The following is a 19,556-nucleotide window of genomic DNA, read 5'->3' as shown; positions in this document are numbered from 1 at the left end:
AAGGCTTTAAAATTCTTTTTTGAGGCCAGGTGCCATGGCTTATGCCTGTAATCCCAGCATGTTGACAGGCCAAGGCAGAAGTTCTGCTTGAGGCCAAGAGGTCGAGACCAGCCTGGGTAATACAGTGAGACCCTGTCTCTACAAAAAATGAAATTAAAATTAAAAAAATTAGCCAGGCGGCTGGGCACGGTGGTTCACGCCTGTAATCCCAGCACTTTGGGAGGCCAAGGCAGGCAGATCACCTGAGGTCAGGAGTTCGAGACCAGCCTGGCCAATGTGGCAAAAAAACCCATCTCTACTAAAAATACAAAAATTAGCCAGGCATGGTGGCATGCACCTGTAACTCCAGCTACCCAGGAGGCTGAGGCAGGAGTATCACTTAAACCCAGGAGATGGAGGTTGCAGTGAGCCGAGATTGTGCCACTGTACTCCAGCCTGGGAAACAGAGTGAGACTCTACCTCAAAAAAAAAAAAAAAAAAAATTAGCCAGGCATGGGTGTGCACACTTGTGGGCCCAGCTACTCGGGAGGCTGAGGCAGGAGGATCATTTGAACCCAGGAGTTCCAGGTTGCAGTGAGCCTTGATCATGCTACCGTACTCCAGCCTGGGTGACAGGCTGTCTCAGAAAAACCCAAAAAATTTTGCTTAAACAACAAAAATTTATTGTCTCCCAGTTCTGGAGGCTAAAGTCTGAGATCAAGGTGTCAACAGGGTTGGTTCCTTAGGAGGGGTGTGAGGGAGAATCTATTTCATATCTCTCATCTAGCTTCTGTAGTTTACTGGCAGTTTCTGGCATATCTTGGCTTATAAAATGACTAATCCTTGCAATTTTGCTTCAGTTGTGATTCTGGAAGATTTGGCATTTAGATCAGATATAAAGCTTTCCTTTTAAAATTCCTAACCTACTTTAACTTCAACATTTGGAATGTTGGAAAGAAAAAAGAACCAGAATAATTGCATCACTTATTATTTACTTGAATTACTAAAACATTTTCAAGAACCTTTTGTCTAGATGTCTTGGTAATGAAGAGATAGAAGATGCAAGTTCTTGGGCTCTTTGTGTCGGAGAGCATGCGGGGTCTAGAATTCCAAAGCCATGAACTGCTTTTAGATCCCTCAGTTCTTTTATGATGGAGAAGTTGTATTTGAATCTGCTAAGGCAAATTAAAGCAGTTAGTCATTTTTGCAAATTATTATTATTATTATTTTTGAAACGGAGTCTTGCTCTGTCGCCCAGGCTGGAGTGCACTGGCGCTATCTCAGCTCACTGCAAGCTCCACCTCCTGGGTTCATGCCATTCTCCTGCCTCAGCCTCCCTAGTAGGTGGACTACAGGCGCCCGCCACCATGCCTGGCTAATTTTTTTTTTGTATTTTTAGTAGAGACAGGCTTTTACCGTGTTAGCCAGGATGGTCTCGATCTCCTGACCTCATGATCCGCCCACCTCAGCCTCCCAAAGTGCTGGGATTATAGGTGTGAGCCACCAAGCGCCTGGCCCATTTTTGCAAATTATTAATTATTGCTTACCATTATAGTCTCCAAAATACTAGGTGTATGGTGTTATCTTTCCACCACTGGTGAAAACAACCCATGGTCTAGGCACTTTGGAGTAGCACCCACCAGCTGTGTGAAGGTCAAATGGATCTTAAAGAGTTGTGCAGTGGGACTGAAAGAGGAGAGTCACTATTTCAGAGATAACCAAATGTTAAAAAAAAGAGGTGAGATATTTTAATATTTGTTGTTTAAAAGTTTTATCTTGATAGTATTACACAATTATACAATACATACATACGTAATGTAATATGCATGTACAGTTTAAAAATAACAATAATAAGGCCAGGTGCAGTGGCTCACACATGTAATCCCAGCACTTTGGGAGGCCAAGGTTGGGGACGATCGCTTGAGGCCAGTAGTTCGAGACCAGCCTAGGTAACACAGTGAGACTCTGTCTCTACAAAATATTAAAAATTAGCCAGGTGTGGTGGTATGCACCCATATTCTCAGCTACTCAAGAGGCTCAAATGGGTGAATCACTTGAGCCCAAGAGTTCCAGACAGGCCTGGGAAACATGGCAAAACCCTGTCTCTACCAAAAATGCAAAAATTAGCTGGGTGTGCTGGTGTGTGCTGCGGTCCCAGCTACTCAGGAGGCTGAAGTGGGAGGATCACTTGAACCTGGGAGGTCGAGAGTACAGTGAGCCATGATCGTGCCACTGCAATCCAGCCTGGGCAACAGAGCAGGACCTTGTCTCCGAAAAAAAAAAGAAAGAAAGAAAGAAAGAAAAAAACAGCAATGCTGTATATACACCACCCAGCTTGAGAAATAGAACATTACCAGCCCCTTTGTTTCTTTTTTAAAAAATGATTTTTAATTATTTTAATTTTTTTTTCCTACCCTCTTGGCAGGTGGCAGATTACTAGCACCTTTGATGCTTCCTGTGTGTCCCTTCCTGGAGGCATCCTCCCACCAAAAAGATAACTACTTTGGCCGGGCACAGTGGCTCACGCCTGTAATCTCAGCACTTTGTGAGGATGAGGCAGGCAGACCACGAGGTCAGGAGTTTGAGACCAGCCTCACCAATATGGTGAAACCCTGTCTCTACTAAAAAAAAAAAAAATACAAAAAATTAGCCAGGCGTGGTGGCGGGCGCCTATAATCCCAGCTACTCGGGAGGCTGAGGCAGGAGAATCGCTTGAACCTGGGAGGCGGAGGTTGCAGTGAGCCAAGATCCCGCCACTGCACTCCAGCCAGGGAGACAGAGTGAGACTCCATTTCCAAAAAAAAAAAAGGTAACTACTTTTTGTTTGTTTGTTTGTTTGTTTGTTTGAGACGGAGTCACACTCTGTCGCCCCCGGCTGGAGTGCAGTGGCGCGATCTCGGCTCACTGCAAACTCCGCCTCCCGGGTTCATGCGATTCTCCTGCCTCAGCCTCCCGAGAAGCTGGGATTGCGGTGCATGTCACCACGCCTGGCTAATTTTTTGTATTTGTAGTAGAGACGGGGTTTCACCGTGTTAGCCAAGATGGTCTCGATCTCCTGACCTCGTGATCCACCTGCCTTGGCCTCCCAAAGTGCTGGGATTACAGGCGTGAGCCACCGTGTCTGGCAAAGATAACAACTTTTCTGAATTTCATGTTAATCATTCTCTTGTTTTTCTTACCAAATATACATATTTATACATATTTGTAGTCTTAAATATGTTTTGTCTGTTTTTTAATTTTATATAATGTATTCATTTTATATAACGTATTCATCTGTAACTTCTGTCACTGGACACTGTTTTATCCGTATAATTCGTTCATTTTCACTGCTGATTAGTTTGCAATTATCTGAACATACAATTAGGTATCCATTCTCTTATTGATGGATATTTTTGTTATCTCCAGTCTTTTGCTGCAAGAACACTGCTGTGACTGTTTTTATATGTCTCTTGGGGCACATGTACAAGTGTTTCTGTAGGTAGATAGCTAGAAGTAGAGTCATTGGTTATGTGTGTGTTCAACTTTAGTAGGCAATTCTTAACTGTTTTCACCTAGTTAATGGTTGACAAAAATGTTGCAGTTTTGAAAACGTGGACAAGCTTCAAATGAAAAGAAGAGGATGACAGAGGACTTGGAGGGGAAGAAAACAAAAATCATAATCATAGACAATATTGTTCACCATGTACAAGACAGTGTTCTAAGCAGAATGAGTGCCTTTGGTGATGATACCTCGTCAGGACCACAGTAAACTTACCCAACTAAAAACTGGTCACATTCCATGGCTGTTCTGCTTCTGTCTTTGGTTTTCAATAATCCTATGTTCTAGAATATGTGAGTCTTGAGGATCAATCATCCAAACCTCGAAAAGGCTTTGAAATCAGTCCATTTTCTCTAAAGTCTTTGGAAGCAAGATTGACTCAAGCAAGTCTAGGTCATCCGTGAAAAGATACAGACATTCAGGGAAACCCATGGTTCCAACCCTGACTGGAAACAATGCCAACTTTGAAAAATGCAGCTGCTGGACCAGCTGCATTTTCAGTTGCTGCATTCAGCTGCCTCAGCCTCTCACATGACTGGACAGAATGAAAATTGGTATAATCTTTTTGGAGGGCAGTTTCCTATTACCTATTTATATTTAAAGCCATTGACCCCATAATTACACTAAAAAACTGTCCTGTAGAAACTATGCTACAAGTGTGGAAGGGTATATAAGGATGTTTACTATGGCCTGAGAATAGTGAAAAACTGCAAACACCTAAAATTCCAGCAACAGAAGATAGATTGTAGTACAATGGAACACAATGCAGCTATAAAAAAAAAAATCGGCTGGGCGCGGTGGCTCACGCTTGTAATCCCAGCACTTTGGGAGGCCGAGGCGGGCGGATCACGAGGTCAGGAGATCGAGACCACGGTGAAACCCCGTCTCTACTAAAAAAAAAAAAAAAAAAAAATTAGCCGGGGGTGGTGGCGGGCGCCTGTAGTCCCACCTACTCCGAGAGGCTGAGGCAGGAGAATGGCGTGAACCCGGGAGGCGGAGCTTGCCGTGAGCTGAGATCGCGCCACTGCACTCCAGACTGGGGCGACAGAGCGAGACTCCGTCTCAAAAAAAAAAAAAAAAAAAAAATCAAGGCTGGGCACCGTGGCTCACGCCTGTAATCCCAGCACTTTGGGAGACTGAGGCGGGCAGATCACGAGGTCAGGAGTTGGAGACCAGCCTGGCCAATATGGTGAAACCCCGTCTGTACTAAAAATACAAAAAAAAAATTAGCCGGGCGTGGCGGCGTGTGCCTGTAGTCCCAGCTACTCCGGAGGCTGAGGCAGGAGAATTGCTTGAACCCAGGAGGCGGAAGTTGCAGTGAGCCAAGATTGCGCCACTGCACTCCAGCCTGGGTGGCAGAGACTCCGTCGCAAAAAAAAAAAAAAAAAAAATCCAAAAAATCAAGTTACAGAACAATTTGCATGGCATGATCTCATTTTTATTTTTATTAAAGGAAATACATATAGATTTTTGTATCTATGAATAGAAAACAGGCAGGAGAACCCTTTATTTTTATCATTATTTTCCCCCCTCCCCATTACCGCTAGAGGGTCTTGACTGCAAGTTGTCCAGGTTCTTGGCATTTTGAACAAAGAATAGGACAAAATGCACAGCAACGCAAGGAAAGAATGAAGCAACGAAAGGAACGAAATGAAGGCAGGGATTTATTGAAAATGAAAGTACACTCCACAGTGTGGCAGTGGGCCAAGCAGTGGCTCAAGGGCCCCCAATACAGAATCTTCTCGGGTCCAAATAGCCCCTAGAGGTTTCCCGTTGGCCACTTGGTGTTCACCTCATGGTTGCAAAGGCAACCAATCAGAGGCTAAACTGAAGTTACAAAGTTGCACTTCTATGCAAAGGAAGACTTGGCCAGCAATCAGTTTGATTGGTTGCAGACAACAACCAATCGGAGGCTGAAGTGATGTTACAAAGGTCACAGTCCCATGGAAACATCTGATCGATTGCAAAAAGCAACCAATCAGAGGTACTTTCAATTTCCCATCTGCGGGGCAGAAAAGTTGGGGGTTTGCAAAGGGAGTAACCTCTGGTCCTTTTGTTATTAGGAGTGGACAGTTAGGGCTTTCCTATCAATTTAGTTCTAGGAAGTCAGTGTGAAATGGCCTTAGGTTCCCTGCCTCCAGACCTTGTTCTGCCTCACCCCCACCCCTTTGGGACCCCTTAGTTATTAATAGTGGTTACCTCCAGAGCAGGGGTGAGGGAAGGGGGCTATAATAAAAGTTTTAAAAGGATACTTTTTTTTTTTTTCTGTAGAGCCAGAGTCTTGCTCTCTCGCCCAGGCTGGAGTGCAGTGGCGCGATCTCGGCTCACTGCAACCTCTGCCTCCCGGATTCAAGCAATTCTCCTGCCTCAGCCTCCTGAGTAGCTGGGACAACAGGCGCACGCTGCCACGCCCAGCTAATTTATTTTGTATTTTAGTAGATACAGGGTTTCACCGTGTTGCCCAAGCTAGTCTGGAACTCCTGAGCTCAGGCGATCTGCCCGCCTTGGCCTCCCAAAGTGCTAGGATTATAGGCATGAGCCACTGCACCCAGCCAAAAGGATACCATTTTATAAGGATAAAAAACACATTCAAGAACAGCCAACTGTTCAGCATAGCAAAGGACAACTAGATTCAACCTGGGCTCCTTATAGGTAGTACTTTTGTCACAGGTTTTGTATTAACATTCCAGTGAGAGGTGAAGTCAGCAGGACTTCCTGGGTCAGTGGGGACTTGGAGAACTTTTCTGTCTAGCTAGAAGATTGTAAACACACCTATCAGCCCTCTGTAAAAATGCACCAATCAGCGCTCTGTGTCTAGCTAAAGGATTGTGAATGCACCAATCAGCACTCTGTAAAAATGCACCAATCAGCCCTCTGTGTCTAGCTAAAGTATTGTAAATGCACCAATCAGCACTCTGTAAAATGGACCAATCAGCACTCTGTAAAATGGACCAATCGGCAAGACATGGGCAGGGACAAATAAGGGAATAAAAGCTGGCCACCCCCACCCCCTCCAAAAGCCAGCAGCAGCAATCCACTGGGGTCCCCTTCCATGCTGTGGAAGCTGTATTCTTTCGCTCTTCACAATAAGTCTTGCTGCTGCTCACTCTTTGGGTCCGTGCCACCTTTGAGAGCTGTAACACTCACCCGAAGGTCTGTGGCTTCATTCTTGAAGTTAGGGAGACCAAGAACCCACCCGAAGGAACGGACACACTAGCACCTAGCACAGCATTTAATTAACACAGAGAGACCAATTGCTTGATTAGTATGTGCAAGATAGAAGAACACACATGCACACACACACACACACACACCCTGCTTTTTAGGCATCTGCAGACTAGTGGAGTAATTGTAGTTAGGAACTCTTGTTTTGTGTAGAGATCCTTTGAAGCAATGGCACCCAATAGAACTTTGCTAGGTGATGGAACTATTCTATGTCTGTGCTGTCCAATATGGTGGTCACTAGACCAAGTGGCTTTGAACACTGGGAATGGGGCAAATACAGCAGAAAAACTGCATTTTGTTTCATTTTTATTTTTATTTATTTTGAGACGGAGTCTCACTCTGTCCCCAGGCTGGAGTGCAGTGGCACGATCTCAGCTCACTGCAACCTCTGTCTCCCGGGTTCAAGCAATTCTCTGCCACAACCTCCCGAGTAGCTGGGATTACAGGCACCTGCCACCACGCCCAGCTAATTTTTGTATTTTTAGTAGAGACCAGATTTCATCCTCTTGGCCAGGCTGGTCTTGAACTCCTGACCTTGTGATCCACCCGCCTCGGCCTCCCAAAGTGCTGGGATTACAGGCGTGAGGCTCCGCACCTGGCTTATTTTTATTTTTATTTTTTTTGAGACAGAGTCTTGCTCTGTAGCCCAGGCTGGAGTGCAGTGGCACGATCTCAGCTTACGGCAACCTCTGCCTCCTGGGTTCCAGAGATTTGCCTGCCTCAGCCTCCCAAGTAGCTGGGATTACAGGCACCCGCCACCATGCCCAGTGAATTTTTTGTATTTTTAGTAGAGACAGGGTTTCACCATGTTGCCTATGCTGGTTTCGAACTCCTGAGCTGAGGCATTCCACCTGCCTCAGTCTCCTAAAGTGCTGCGATTACAGGCATGTGTCACCATGCCCGGCCTGCATTTTATTTTATGAGACAGAGTCTCACTCAGTTGCCCAGACTGGAGTGCAGTGGCACGATCTCAGCTCACTGCAACCTCCACCTCCTGGCTTCAAGTGATTCTCCTGCCTCAGCCTCCTGAGTAGCTGGGATTACAGGCACATGCAACCATGGCTGGCTAATTTTTGTATTTTTCATAGAGACAGGGTTTTACCATATTGGCCAGGCTGGTCTCGAACTCCAAGACTCAAGTGATCCACCCGCCTCGGCTTCCCATGCATTTTAAATTTTATTTAATTTTAATTAAATAGCCATATGTTGCTAGCATTGGACAACGCAGCTTTAAAAGATCTGTTGAGAAATTAATATATAGACTCTCCTCAGAAAAGTATACACATATACCAAATTTTACATAAAATTTCAAGAGATCCAGGGATCCTCTCAAGCCCATCCATGTGTCTCTAGCTCAAGAACCTCTGAAATAATGAGAATAGGATAAACAGCACTAGAGAGGGTAAAATTCAGAACTTAAGAGGTGAGATGGAAAATGGGCAAATGCTAATGCTCCCATTCAGAACCCTGGGATCCTGGAAGGAATCACACTAGGTGTGCCTCCCTCCTTCTCCTGTCACACAGAACATTTACCACATTGTTTACTGTTTACTTTCCCACATTGTGCTGGACATTCGGACTGTATACTTCATAAGAGTGGAGACCTTATCTGTCTTACTCACCATTATATACCCAGAGCCTAGTGTGAATCCAGCACATAGTTGGCTCTCAAATATCTGCCATATGAATTCATTTTATTGGATATCTCATTCTTCCCAGTCCTAGGACCCCACAGCTCCTGAGTTATGGAGGGTCTCAGTGATAAGGAGAGTTGGCTGGCTCATGGAATGGAGATAGGGTTTTCTTGAAGCTGAGCAAATACTCAGATTCATGAGAATCCCCTATCACTGGTGTGATATACAAGCCACTGAAAGGCTTCAATAGGCCAGGTGCGGTGGCCGGCGCCTGTAATCCCAACACTTTGGGAGGCCGAGGTGGGCGGATCACCTGAGGTCGGGAGTTTGAGACCAGCCTGACCAACATGGTGAAACCCTGTCTCTACTAAAAATACAAAAATTAGCTGGGCGTGGTGTGCACCTGTAGTCCCAGCTACTCGGGAGACTGAGGCAGGAGAATTGCTTGAACTCGGGAGGCGGAGGTTGCGGTGAGCTGAGATTGCGCCACTGCACTCCAGCCTGGTAACAGAGCAAGACTCCGTCTCAAATTTAAAAAAAAAAAGGCTTCAATAGTAAGTGATAGGGAGACATATACTAGAGCCCCAGGGTTAAACGCTCTCCTTGGGTGTCTCCTCCTCTGTCTTTTCGAGTTCTAGAATATGACCACCTTCTCTCAAATTGTCCCTCTATCTGGAATCCTCTTATATCTCTAGTAGGCAAATTCTAACTCACTGTTAAATGCCTCTTTCTCTGGGAAATCTATGCTAGTACTTCCAGACAGAATTATATCATATTTCCACTGGTTCCCTTTGTACTTGCACATTTCATCATGTGTGTTCTAACAGGGCAGGGGCCAGCCATTCATCTCTGTATCCCAGCAATAAATAATGTTTGGCATATAGTAGGTGGTTAACGACCAATATGAACCACTAAAAGAATATAAACACAATTGCTTTCCCCGCCTACACTACTTCTGCTCCATATGTTCTGGTCAAAGGCAATGGATTCGGTATGAATAAGCCTTTGTTATTCACCATGAAGTTACCTGAAAACAAAAATCCATGGTTCTCTTTATGAGTACTCCAACGAAATAGGAAATACATGACAGGTGTACAACAGAAGGAACAGGAAAGAAAAGGTTTCTGCCTGAGCAGAAGTCAAAGGGCTGTCCAGGCAGAAATGCAGGGCAAGAAACAAGCAGAAATGCAGGGCAAGGGCCAGGCGCGGTGGCTCAGGCCTGTAATCCCAGCAATTTGGGAGGCCAAGGTGGGTGGATCAGCTGAGGTCAGGAGTTCAAGACCAGCCTGGCCAACATTGGGAAACCCAGTCTCTACTAAAAAACACAAAAATTAGCTGGATGTGGTGGTGGGCGCCTGTAATCCCAGCTACTCAGGAGGCTGAGGCAGAAGAATTGCTTGAATCCAGGAGACGGAGGTTGTAGTGAGCCGACACAGTGCCACTGCACTCCAGGCTTTGCGACAGAGCGAGACTCTGTCTCAAAAAGAGAAAAAAGGCCGGGCGCAGTGGCTCACGCCTGTAATCCCAGCACTTTGGGAGGCCAAGGCAGGCAGATCACGAGGTCAGGAGATCGAGACCATCCTGGCTAACACGGTGAAACCCTGTCTCTACTAAAAATACAAAAAATTAGCTGGGCGCAGTAGCAGGCACCTGTAGTCCCAGCTACTCGGGAGGCTGAGGCAGGAGAATGGCATGAACCCAGGAGGCAGAGCTTGCAGTGAGCCAAGATCACGCCACTGCACTCTGGCCTGGGTGAAAGAGCGAGACTCCACCTCAAAAAAAAAAAAAAAAAAGAAAAGAAAAAGAAAAAAAAATGCAGGGCAAGAACATCCTCAGTATGGTAAAGGGCATTTATGAAAAGCCCAGAGGTAACATCACACACAATGGTGAAAGACTGAAAACTATCCGCCTAAGATAAGGAGCAAGACAAGGAGACCCACTTTCCCTATGCTATTTCTATTCAACATTGTACTGGAAGTTCTATCCATAGCAATTAGACAAGAAAAAGAAACAAAAGGTATCCAAATGGGGAAGGAAGAAGTAACATTATCTCTATTTGCAGATGACATGGATTATATATATATATATAAATATAATATATAGTATAATTTGTGTATTAGATAATATATATCCCTAAAGAATCCACAAAAAAAGCTAATAAATTCAGCAGAATTGCAGAGTACAAAATCAACATACGTAAGTCAGTCATATTTTTTTTTTTTTTTTGAGACGGTGTCTCACTCTGTCACCCAGGCTGGAGTGCAGTGGCACCATCTTGGCTCACTGCAACCTCTGCCTCCTGGGTTCAAGTGTTACTCCTGCCTCAGCCTCCCAAGTAGCTGGGACTACAGGCGCATGCCACCACACCCGGCTAATTTTTGTAGTTTTAGTAAAGGTGAAGTTTCGCCATGTTGGCCAGGCTGGTCTCAAACTCCTGACCTCAGGTGATCCATCCCCCGACTGGCCTCCCAGAGTACTGGGATTACAGGCATGAGCCACCGCCCCCAGCCAAAAATCGGTCATATTTCTATAGACTACCAATGAATAAATAATTAAACATGAAATTAAGAAAACAATTCTGGCCGGGCATGGTGGCTCACGCCTATAATCCCAGCACTTTGGGTGGCCAAGGTGGGTGGATCACTTGAGGTCCGGAGATCAAGACCAGCCTGGCCAACGTGGTGAAACCCCATCTCTATTAAAAATACAAAAATTAGCCAGGTGTGGTGGCGTGTGCCTGTAGTCCCAGCTACTCGGGAGGCTGAGGAAGGAGAAATGCTTGAGCCCGGGAGGTGGAGGTTGCAGTGAGCCGAGATTGTGCCACCACACTCCAGCCTGGGCGACAGAATGAGATTCTGTCTCAAAAAAATAAAATAAAATAAAATAAAATAAAATAAAATAAAATAAAATAAAATAAAATAAATAAAAACAAAAAACAGACAAATGGGACTGTATTAAACTTTAAAACTTCTGTGCATCAAAGAACACAATCAAGAAAGTGAAAAGGCAACCTATGGAATAAGAGAAAATATGTGCTAAGCATGTATCTGATAATGAGTTAATACCTAGAATACATAAAGGGCTCCTGCAGCTCAACAACAAAAAAATCAAATATGGTTGGCCCTCCATGTCCATAGATTCTGAATCTGTGGACTCAACAAATCCTAGATTGAAAACATTTGGAAAAAAAAATGGATGGTTGCATCTGTACTGAACATGTACAGACTTTTTTTCCTTATTATTCCCTAAACAGCACAGTATAACAGCTATTTATATAGCATTTACTATGTATAGTAAGTAAACTAGAGATGATTTAAAGTGTACGAGAGGACGTTTATATGCAAATAATATGTCATTTTATATGAGACTTAAGCATCTGTGAATTTTGGTATCTTGGGATGAAGGTGGAGGTATCCTAGAACCAATCATGCATGGATACTGAAAGACAATTGTAAATCAAAAAATGAGCAAAGAACTTGGATAGACATTTCTCCAAAGATGATATAAAAATTGCCAACAAGCATATGAAAAGATGTTCTCAGTAATCATCAGAGAAATGTACATTAAAACCACAATGAGATATAATCTCACATCCATTAGGATGGACACTATCAAAAAATGAAAAAAATGACACGTGTTAGTGAGGATGTGAAGAAATCGGACCCTTGTGCAGTTTGTAGGATTGTAAAATGCTGCAACCACTATGAAAAACAGTATGGAGGCTCTTCCAAAAATATAAATTAGTATTACCATATACCCAACTATTCCTCTTCTGGAATTTCCTCCCATCCTGTAGGCTGTCTTTTCACTTTTTTGATAGTGTCTTTTGATTCGCAAAAGTCCTTATTTTGATAAAGTGCAATTTATTTATTTTGTATTTCATTGATTATTATTTTGGTGTTGTATCTAAGAACCCATTGCCAAATTTAAGGTCTTGAAGATTTACCCCAATATTTTCTTCTAAGACTTTTCCTGGGCTCAACTAATCCTTTTGCCTCAGCCTTCCGAGTACCTAGGGCTACAGGCGTACATCATCGCACGCAGCTGATTTATTTATTTATTGTAGAGATAAGGTCTTGCTATGTTGCCCAGGGTGTTCTCAAACTTCTGGCCTCAAGGGATCCTCCTGCCTCGGCCTCCCAAAGTGTTGGGATTGTAGGTGTAAGCCATTGTCCTTGGCCTATTTTCAGTTAATTTTTGTGTATGAGGTAGGGGTCTAACTTTTTTCTTTTTTATGTGAATACCCAGTTTTCCCAGCACGAACTGTTTAAGAAAAAACACATTTGTTTAAGACTATTCTCTCCCCACTGAACAGTCTTAGCACTTTTGTCAAAAACCAATTGACCTTAGATGGATGGGTTTATTTCTTGACTCTTGATTTTATTCCATCACTCTATGTCTATTCTTATACTAATGCCACAGTTTTGATTTGCATTCCCTGATAACTAATAATGTTCAGCTTTTTTTTTTTTCATATGTTAGCTGGTCATTTGTATATCTTCTTTGGAAAAATGTCTATTCCAATCCTTTGCCCATTTTTAAGTTGGGCTGTTAGTCTTTTTGCTAAGACTCTCACATCCAGAATATATAAAGAACACTTACACTCCACAACAAAAAGACTAACAACCCAGAATGAGATGCCACTTCACTCCTACTAGGATGACTATAATCAAAACAAAACAAATGTTGGTGAAGATGTAGAGAAATTGAAACCCTATGCTTGCTGGTGGCAATATAAAATGGTTCAGCTGCTGTGGAAAAGTTTGGTGGATTCTCAAACATTTAAACATAGAATTACCATATGACCCAGCAATTCCACTGTGAGGTATATACCCAAAAGAACTGAAAACATATTTAATGTTCACAGCAGCACTATCCACAATAATGAAATGGTGGAAACAACCCAAATGTCCATTAACTGATGAACAGATAGACAAATCGTGGTATATCCATACAACAGCTTATTCTGCCATAAAAAAAGAATGAAGTACCGATACATGCTACAAGTTGAATAAACCTTGAAAACATTATGCCAAGGGAAACAGAGACATAGGTCACATGTTTTATCATTCCATTTATATAAAATGTCCAGAATAAACAGGCAAATCCAAACAGACAGAAAGTAGATTAGTGGTTGCCAGAGGCTGGTGGAAGGGGAGTGGAAAGTGACCACTTACTTAATGGGTACAGGTTTCCTTTTGGGGTGATGAAAATGTTTTGGAAATATATGAGGTTATGGTTGTACAACACTGTGAATGTACTAAATGTGACTACGCTGTACATCTTAAATTGGTTAATTTTTTTTTTTTTTAAGAGACAGGGTCTCACTCTGTCACCTAGGCTCTGGAGTGCAGCAGCACAATCACAGTTCACTTTAACCTTGAACTCTTGGCCTCCAGTGATCCTTTCACTTCTACCTCCCAAAGTACTAGGATTATAGCCATGAGCCACTGTGCCTGGCTAGTTAAAGTGGTTAATTTTATGTTATGTGAATTTTACATCAGTAATAAAAAAGAAGCCGGAAGAAAACCAGACATCAAAGATGTTAGAAAAAGGGATATATTTACAAACCAAAAAGTCTCCAAATTCCCACTGGAAGGAGGTAGCAAGTATGAGCAGGTCTCTTTAGAAGCCCGTCCTCATTCCTATAGAAACCCCAAGTACTAGCCCATGGGGTCAGCCCTTGCCCTATAGCCCATCCTTGTCACAACCCAAGAAGCAATCCCTCCATTGGCCACACCCTCAGTCCTTTTGCCAGTCATCCTGTGCCCAGGCAGGCATTGGTGAAAAGTACTCAAAGCCTGGCCCTTTATAGCGTAGGGCATGTAGGAACATCACAAGGTCTTGGGGCAAGGGATCCTGTCGCACCAGCCGGCACTCTGCACAGAGTGGGTCTGTCTCTTGATTCATGACATCTGTTTCAACTGCCTTCTCTGATGCCAAGGCTATTGTGTCCAACTCCTGAGGGGCTGCCTCAGCTACTTCCTCCATCTTCTGGGCAGCTGCAGCCAACTCTTCCAGGTCGTCCTTGCCCAACTCTGAGGAGGGGGCCGTAGAGTCTGTGAGTCCTGGGGACAGGTCACCCTCACAGAGATCTAGCACATCCAGGCTCTGTTTGGCCTGGTGCTCTGCTACCAGGTCCCGTAGCAACTCCTCGTTTGTCTTGGGAATGTAGCCGCCCCGGCCTCGAGAAGGACCCCAGGCAACTGAGTTGTAGATGGGGTCGTTGAGAATGGGATGGCCCAAGAACTGAAGGTGGACTCGAATCTGGTGTGTGCGGCCTGTGAGTGGCCGGCACCGTACCACACTGGACTGGCCATTGTAGCTTAGCCTCTGGAACACTGTCTCACAGGGCTTGCCCCGGGGATCTACACGGCACACCCCTACTTTGTAAGACACCACTAAGATGGGTTCTTTACAGGTCACTTCCTCAGTGGGGAACTCCCCTTCCACCCGGCACACGTACTCCTTCTCCAGCTACATAGGAGGGAAGAGGGAGAAAGTCAGTACAAAGCCTAAATTCATGGAGTCCAAACTCTTTGTGGAGTGATAAGGACCAGTGTCAGAAAATTCAAACTCCAGCTCTACCATTCGCCAGTTTTGCGATCTTGGGTACATTACTTAACCTCTAAATCCTACTAACTCATCTAGAAAATGTGAAATTAGAAAAGCATTTACCAGCTGGGTGAGGTGGCTCACGCCTGTAATCCCAGCACTTTGGGAAGCTGAGGTGGGTGGATCACCTGAGGTCGAAAGTTCGAGACCAGCCTGACCAACATGAAGAAACCCCGTCTCTACTAAAAAATACAAAATTAGCCAGGCGTGGTGGCGCATGCCAGTCATCCCAGCTACCTGGGAGGCTGAGGCAGGATAATTGCTTGAACCCAGGAGGCGGAGGTTGCAGTGAGCCAGGATCACACCATTGCACTCCAGACTGGGCAACAAGAGCGAAACTCCATCTCAAAAAAAAAAAAAAAAAAAAAGAAAAGAAAAGAAAAGCATTTACCTCATTGGGCTGTGATAAGCATTCAGTAAGTTAGGCTCTAATGTGCTTGATACTAAGCCTGGTATATAGCATGCACTCAATAAATGTATTATGATTCAGATCCAGAATTACAAGTCTCAGGACAACAATCATTACCATTAAACTCCTCTACCCAAGACTTTTCCAACTACATCTAGAATCTTTTCACCAAGCAGGCTCTCCCCATAATCTTAAAAGCCTTGCTCAGCCTGTCAGCACTTTATTTTCTTATGTTAATTTATTTCTTTGAGACGGAGTCTTGTTCTATAGCTCAGGCTGGAACGCAGTGACATGCTCATGGCTCACTGCAGCCTCAACCTCCCATGGCCAAGTGATCCTCCTATCTCAGCCTCCCAAGTAGCTGGGACTACAGGCATGTGCCACCATGCCAGGGTAAGTTTTTTTTTTTTTTTTTGAGACAGAGTCTCACTCTGTCACCCAGGCTGGAGTGCGGTGGCGCGATTCGGCTCACTGCAAGCTCCACCTCTTGGGTTCACACCATTCTCCTGCCTCAGCCTCCCGAGTAGCTGGGACTATAGGTGCCCGCCACCACGCCCAGCTAATTTTTTGTATTTTTTTTTAGTAGAGACGGGGTTTCACCGTGTTAGCCAGGATGACCTCGATCTCCTGACCTCGTGATCTGCCCGCCTCGGCCTCCCAAAGTGTTGGGATTACAGGCGTGAGCCACTGCGCCTGGCCTTTTTTTTTTTTTTTTGTAGAGATAGGGTCTCCCTATTTTGCCCAGGCTGGTCTCTACCTCCTGGGCTCAAGCTATCCTCCCACCTCAGCCTCCCAAAATGCTGGGATTACAGGTGTGAGCCTGGCCTTGTCAGCATTTTAAAGCTTCAAAATAGCAAACTACTAAGAGAGGCAGTGTATGCCATCTCTAAAGATTTTTTTGGAAACATATGAGATATCCTGCATTTGGCACTTTAGGTGTTGACCTGCCTTAAGGTAGGAAGGTAGGAAGGATGGCCAGATAAATATGAAGGACCACTTCGGAACTCCATGATGCCCTTTTGACACAGAGCATTCGTGAGCCCAAGAAGTGGCCTGTAGGAGACAAAAGCCTGACTCACCTGCCGGTCCCGAACCTGCTCGTGAATTCTCTCAGAGACTGCAGCTGTCTTGGCAAACATAAGCACCCCTGAGGTAAGGCGGTCAAGCCGATGCAAGGGGTGTAGCTCCTTGAGTTGGTGCTCCTTGCCTAGGATGAAGATAACTGTGTTGTGTCGGAAGCGGCCACAGGGGTGAACGGGAATGGAGGAAGGCTTGTCTACAACCACCACATCTTCGTTCTCAGCTAGCAGGCGAATGGGCTCTGCTGTGACTGGTGGCTCATGCCTGTGCACTGTGTTCCGCAAGAAATCATTGTCCTGTCAAAGACATAGGTAATAAGTCAGCCTAGGGACCGCAGCCTGTAATCAGTCAACTTCATATCCAGCTTCCCCTGTTCCTCACTGACATGGAAAAATGGTGAAAGCACATCTTGGGCTGAAAAAGCAGTGTGCAGAGTGTGATCTCATTTTGTAAAAATACAGACAGACACAGGCAGATAGCTGGCACTGAAAAAGTACTGGAAGGACATATGCAAAAATGTTAACTGTGTTATCTCTGGGTGGTTAGATTATGAATGTTTTTTGGCTTTGCTAATTGTATTTTCTCTACAATAAAGGTATTTAAAAGGTAAAATTTTTTAGCCGGGCGCAGTGGCTCACGCCTCTAATCCCAGCACTTTGGGAGGCTGAGGTGGGTGGATCACGAGATCAAGACCATCCTGGCTAACATGGTCAAACTCTGTCTCTACTAAAAATACAAAAATTAGCAGGCGTGGTGGCACATGCCTGTAATCCCAGCTACTTGGGAGACTGAGGCAGGAGAATCGCTTGAACCTGGGAGGCGGAGGTTGCAGTGAGCCGAGATCGCGCCACTACACGCCAGCCTGGGCAACAGAGCAAGACTCTGTCTCAAAAAAAAAAAAAATAAATAATCAAGGTAAAATTTTTTTAATGGAGGAAAAAACCTCCATAAATCATCACTTATTACGATCTTGAACAAACAAAACTAAGGCTTAAGTCCAGGGATATGGGCTCTAGACCAGGATTTGCCACAGGCTCGCTACATGCTCTTGGGCAAGTCATTTATCTTTTCTGGGTCTCTGCTTCCTGTGGAATGTGAGGGTTAGACCAGATCTGTGCTTTAGAAATTGGGATAGGAGAGGGAATTCGTCAATGTATGATATATTGACGCAAATCGATTGATCAATGGAACAAGTTACTCCAAAACCATCCATTCCCCAAATGCTGTAATCGCCTTTTCTCCACTCACAACCATGGTAAACTAGTGTTACTGAGAGGTAAACAGTGTTACTTCTGACAGGGGTGTCTGGTACCTCATAGATGTGATGGAATTTTAAAGGAGTCAAAGCACTGGGCTAAACAATTCTAGTCTCTATCCCTGACATCTCATAACTCTATGTTAAATAGTTTAAGTAGTAGTTATAGGAACATAGGCTTTGGTAGTGGCACTGTTGATAGCCTTACCCCTGTGAGTTTCCTTAGTTTCCTCAGAGGTAAAATGGAGTGGCAATACCTACTTCACAAGGCTGTCATTAGAATTAGTGGACATACAATGTTTAACTTTGTGCCCAGCACACAGTAAAGAGACATAAATGATAGCCCCTATTATTACTATTTGCACAGAGATCTACAACGCAGGGTAAAGTGATCAGTGCCCTTGCCACAAGACGGTGTTTAAAGGAATTATGAAAATTCCAACTTCTGTCCCTTGGAAACAAGGAAGCTGCCTTGAGGAAGAGGATAAACAGGCTGAGTCCTGAAGCACAGACACCCTGGCCACTTGCGGAGGTGGGAAACGGGCTAAAATAGTGTTCCAAATGAAAGCGAGAACGCTTTAGAATTGCCATGATTTTAATCCAGTACCTATGCTTTACTAAGACTAAAAAACAAAACAAAACAAAACAAAACCCGGCCCCTTTTCCTCGCCCGCTTCTGGCCAGCCCCATCAGGACTCCACCTTGAGCACGATGTTGAGGTCCTGCACCGGCTTCTCGTTGAGTTGCAGGCGGCCCGCCCGGACCGCGGCCTCATAGTAGGCCAGGGGCTGAGCTCGGAACTCGGTACTGAAGACGTGCAGCAAGCTGTGGCCCACCCAGCGACCTTTGCAGTAGGTCCGGAAGTCAAAGTAATAGGGCCGCACCTTACGCAGGCCGCCCTCGAAGTAATAACTGGTTTCTGCAAAGTGCTCATCTCCGAAGCTCACCCCGGTCCGCCGCTTCTTCGGGGGCGGCACGACACGCTCCCTGGTTGCGCCCCGCCGCTTCTTATGCTTGCCCGGGCCTGGGGCTGCAGCCGAGGGATGCTCCCCGCCTACTGGGGCCGGCTCCACTTCCCGGCCAGCCGGCTTCGGGGGCCCGGGGGACAGCTCAACCTTCGCGTCGCCACCAGCGTCACCGTTTTGCTGATGCGAAGCCCTCAGCCCGCCCTCTGTCCCAACCTGGGTAGACACTGTTTCTGCCATTGGGCCCTTATCGCCACTCCAAGTCCTGGTAAAGCTAGGGCGCCTAAGGTCGTAGCGCCAATGTCCAAGAACCCTGAGCCATCCGCGGCGGTCCAGCCACATAACCACGCTGCCCCCACTCCACTCCCAGGGTCGCGATCTGAGGACGTCACTCGGCCCCAGCGAATCAGGGAGGCCCAGTCCCGAGGCGGGGTCTGCGATAAGTGAGCGAATGAGTGAGCTGCTCGAATTAAATTAGGTGAATTGAGTGAGCTTAGAGATGAGAGACTGTAAATGTCTCACCAAAAGTGACCTTACTCAGACGTCTTCCTATTAGGGAGATACGACGTTATTTATAAAGGAAACCCTTGGAATTGCTCCGTGTAAAGGCCATGACAGGAGTAGGTCGTGTAAATTCCGAGTAGTCCCTTGGGTCTGAAGAAACGCTTGAAAGGAGCTTTATTTAAGACAAAACAAAAACTAACAACCAGAATAAAGATTGCTAAACTCTGCGAATATACTAAAACCCACTGTATTCTATATTTTAAAAGGGTCAATATTATAGTATGTGACTTGTATCTCAGTAAGATTGTTATATATGTATTTAAAACACACACAAGCACCCCAGAAGCAATGT

General features: G+C 45.0%; 1 protein-coding gene across 2 annotated transcripts, besides 3 other annotated features; it reads right to left on the bottom strand.

Annotated features, from left to right (window-relative positions):
• Window positions 1–13,430: 13,430 nt before the first annotated feature.
• RPUSD2 (RNA pseudouridine synthase domain containing 2) lies at window positions 13,431–19,081 on the bottom strand. Of its 2 annotated transcripts, none has more exons than NM_152260.3 (3): window positions 18,437–19,081; window positions 16,480–16,776; window positions 13,431–14,853 (listed from the first exon to the last, which is right to left on the bottom strand). In NM_152260.3, exons 1-3 carry the CDS (start codon window positions 19,040–19,042, stop codon window positions 14,119–14,121), a joined length of 1,638 nt encoding a protein of 545 aa, NP_689473.1. In that variant the 5' UTR covers window positions 19,043–19,081; the 3' UTR covers window positions 13,431–14,118. The 2 variants fall into 2 exon arrangements, with proteins under 2 accessions (NP_689473.1, NP_001273336.1); NM_001286407.2 differs by having other exon boundaries at window positions 18,620–19,081.
• Window positions 18,249–18,748: an enhancer, noted in NCBI's record as "H3K27ac hESC enhancer chr15:40861831-40862330 (GRCh37/hg19 assembly coordinates)". NCBI's record gives its function as "activates a minimal SCP1, AML or CMV promoter by ChIP-STARR-seq in primed H9 embryonic stem cells {active_cell/tissue: H9 hESC(primed)}" and the evidence as "EXISTENCE:reporter gene assay evidence [ECO:0000049][PMID:30033119]".
• Window positions 18,450–18,499: an enhancer, noted in NCBI's record as "active region_9252". NCBI's record gives its function as "activates an Ori minimal core promoter by ATAC-STARR-seq in GM12878 lymphoblastoid cells {active_cell/tissue: GM12878}" and the evidence as "EXISTENCE:reporter gene assay evidence [ECO:0000049][PMID:35858748]".
• Window positions 18,810–19,139: an enhancer, noted in NCBI's record as "active region_9251". NCBI's record gives its function as "activates an Ori minimal core promoter by ATAC-STARR-seq in GM12878 lymphoblastoid cells {active_cell/tissue: GM12878}" and the evidence as "EXISTENCE:reporter gene assay evidence [ECO:0000049][PMID:35858748]".

Source organism: Homo sapiens, chromosome 15, assembly GCF_000001405.40.
Source record: "Homo sapiens chromosome 15, GRCh38.p14 Primary Assembly".
NCBI lineage: Eukaryota > Metazoa > Chordata > Mammalia > Primates > Hominidae > Homo > Homo sapiens.
Note: the sequence above shows the minus strand (reverse complement) of the source record. Positions and strands in the feature narration are given on the sequence as shown.

Coding starts and splice junctions, on each gene's coding strand:
- RPUSD2 (NM_152260.3), bottom strand. CDS start 19,042: ATGTGGCTGGACCGCCGCGGATGGCTCAGGGTTCTTGGACATTGGCGC. Junction 16,777..18,436: donor ACCTCAACATCGTGCTCAAG/GTGGAGTCCTGA, acceptor TGTCTTTGACAG/GACAATGATTTCTTGCGGAA. Junction 14,854..16,479: donor AGCAGGTTCGGGACCGGCAG/GTGAGTCAGGCT, acceptor CCTCCTATGTAG/CTGGAGAAGGAGTACGTGTG.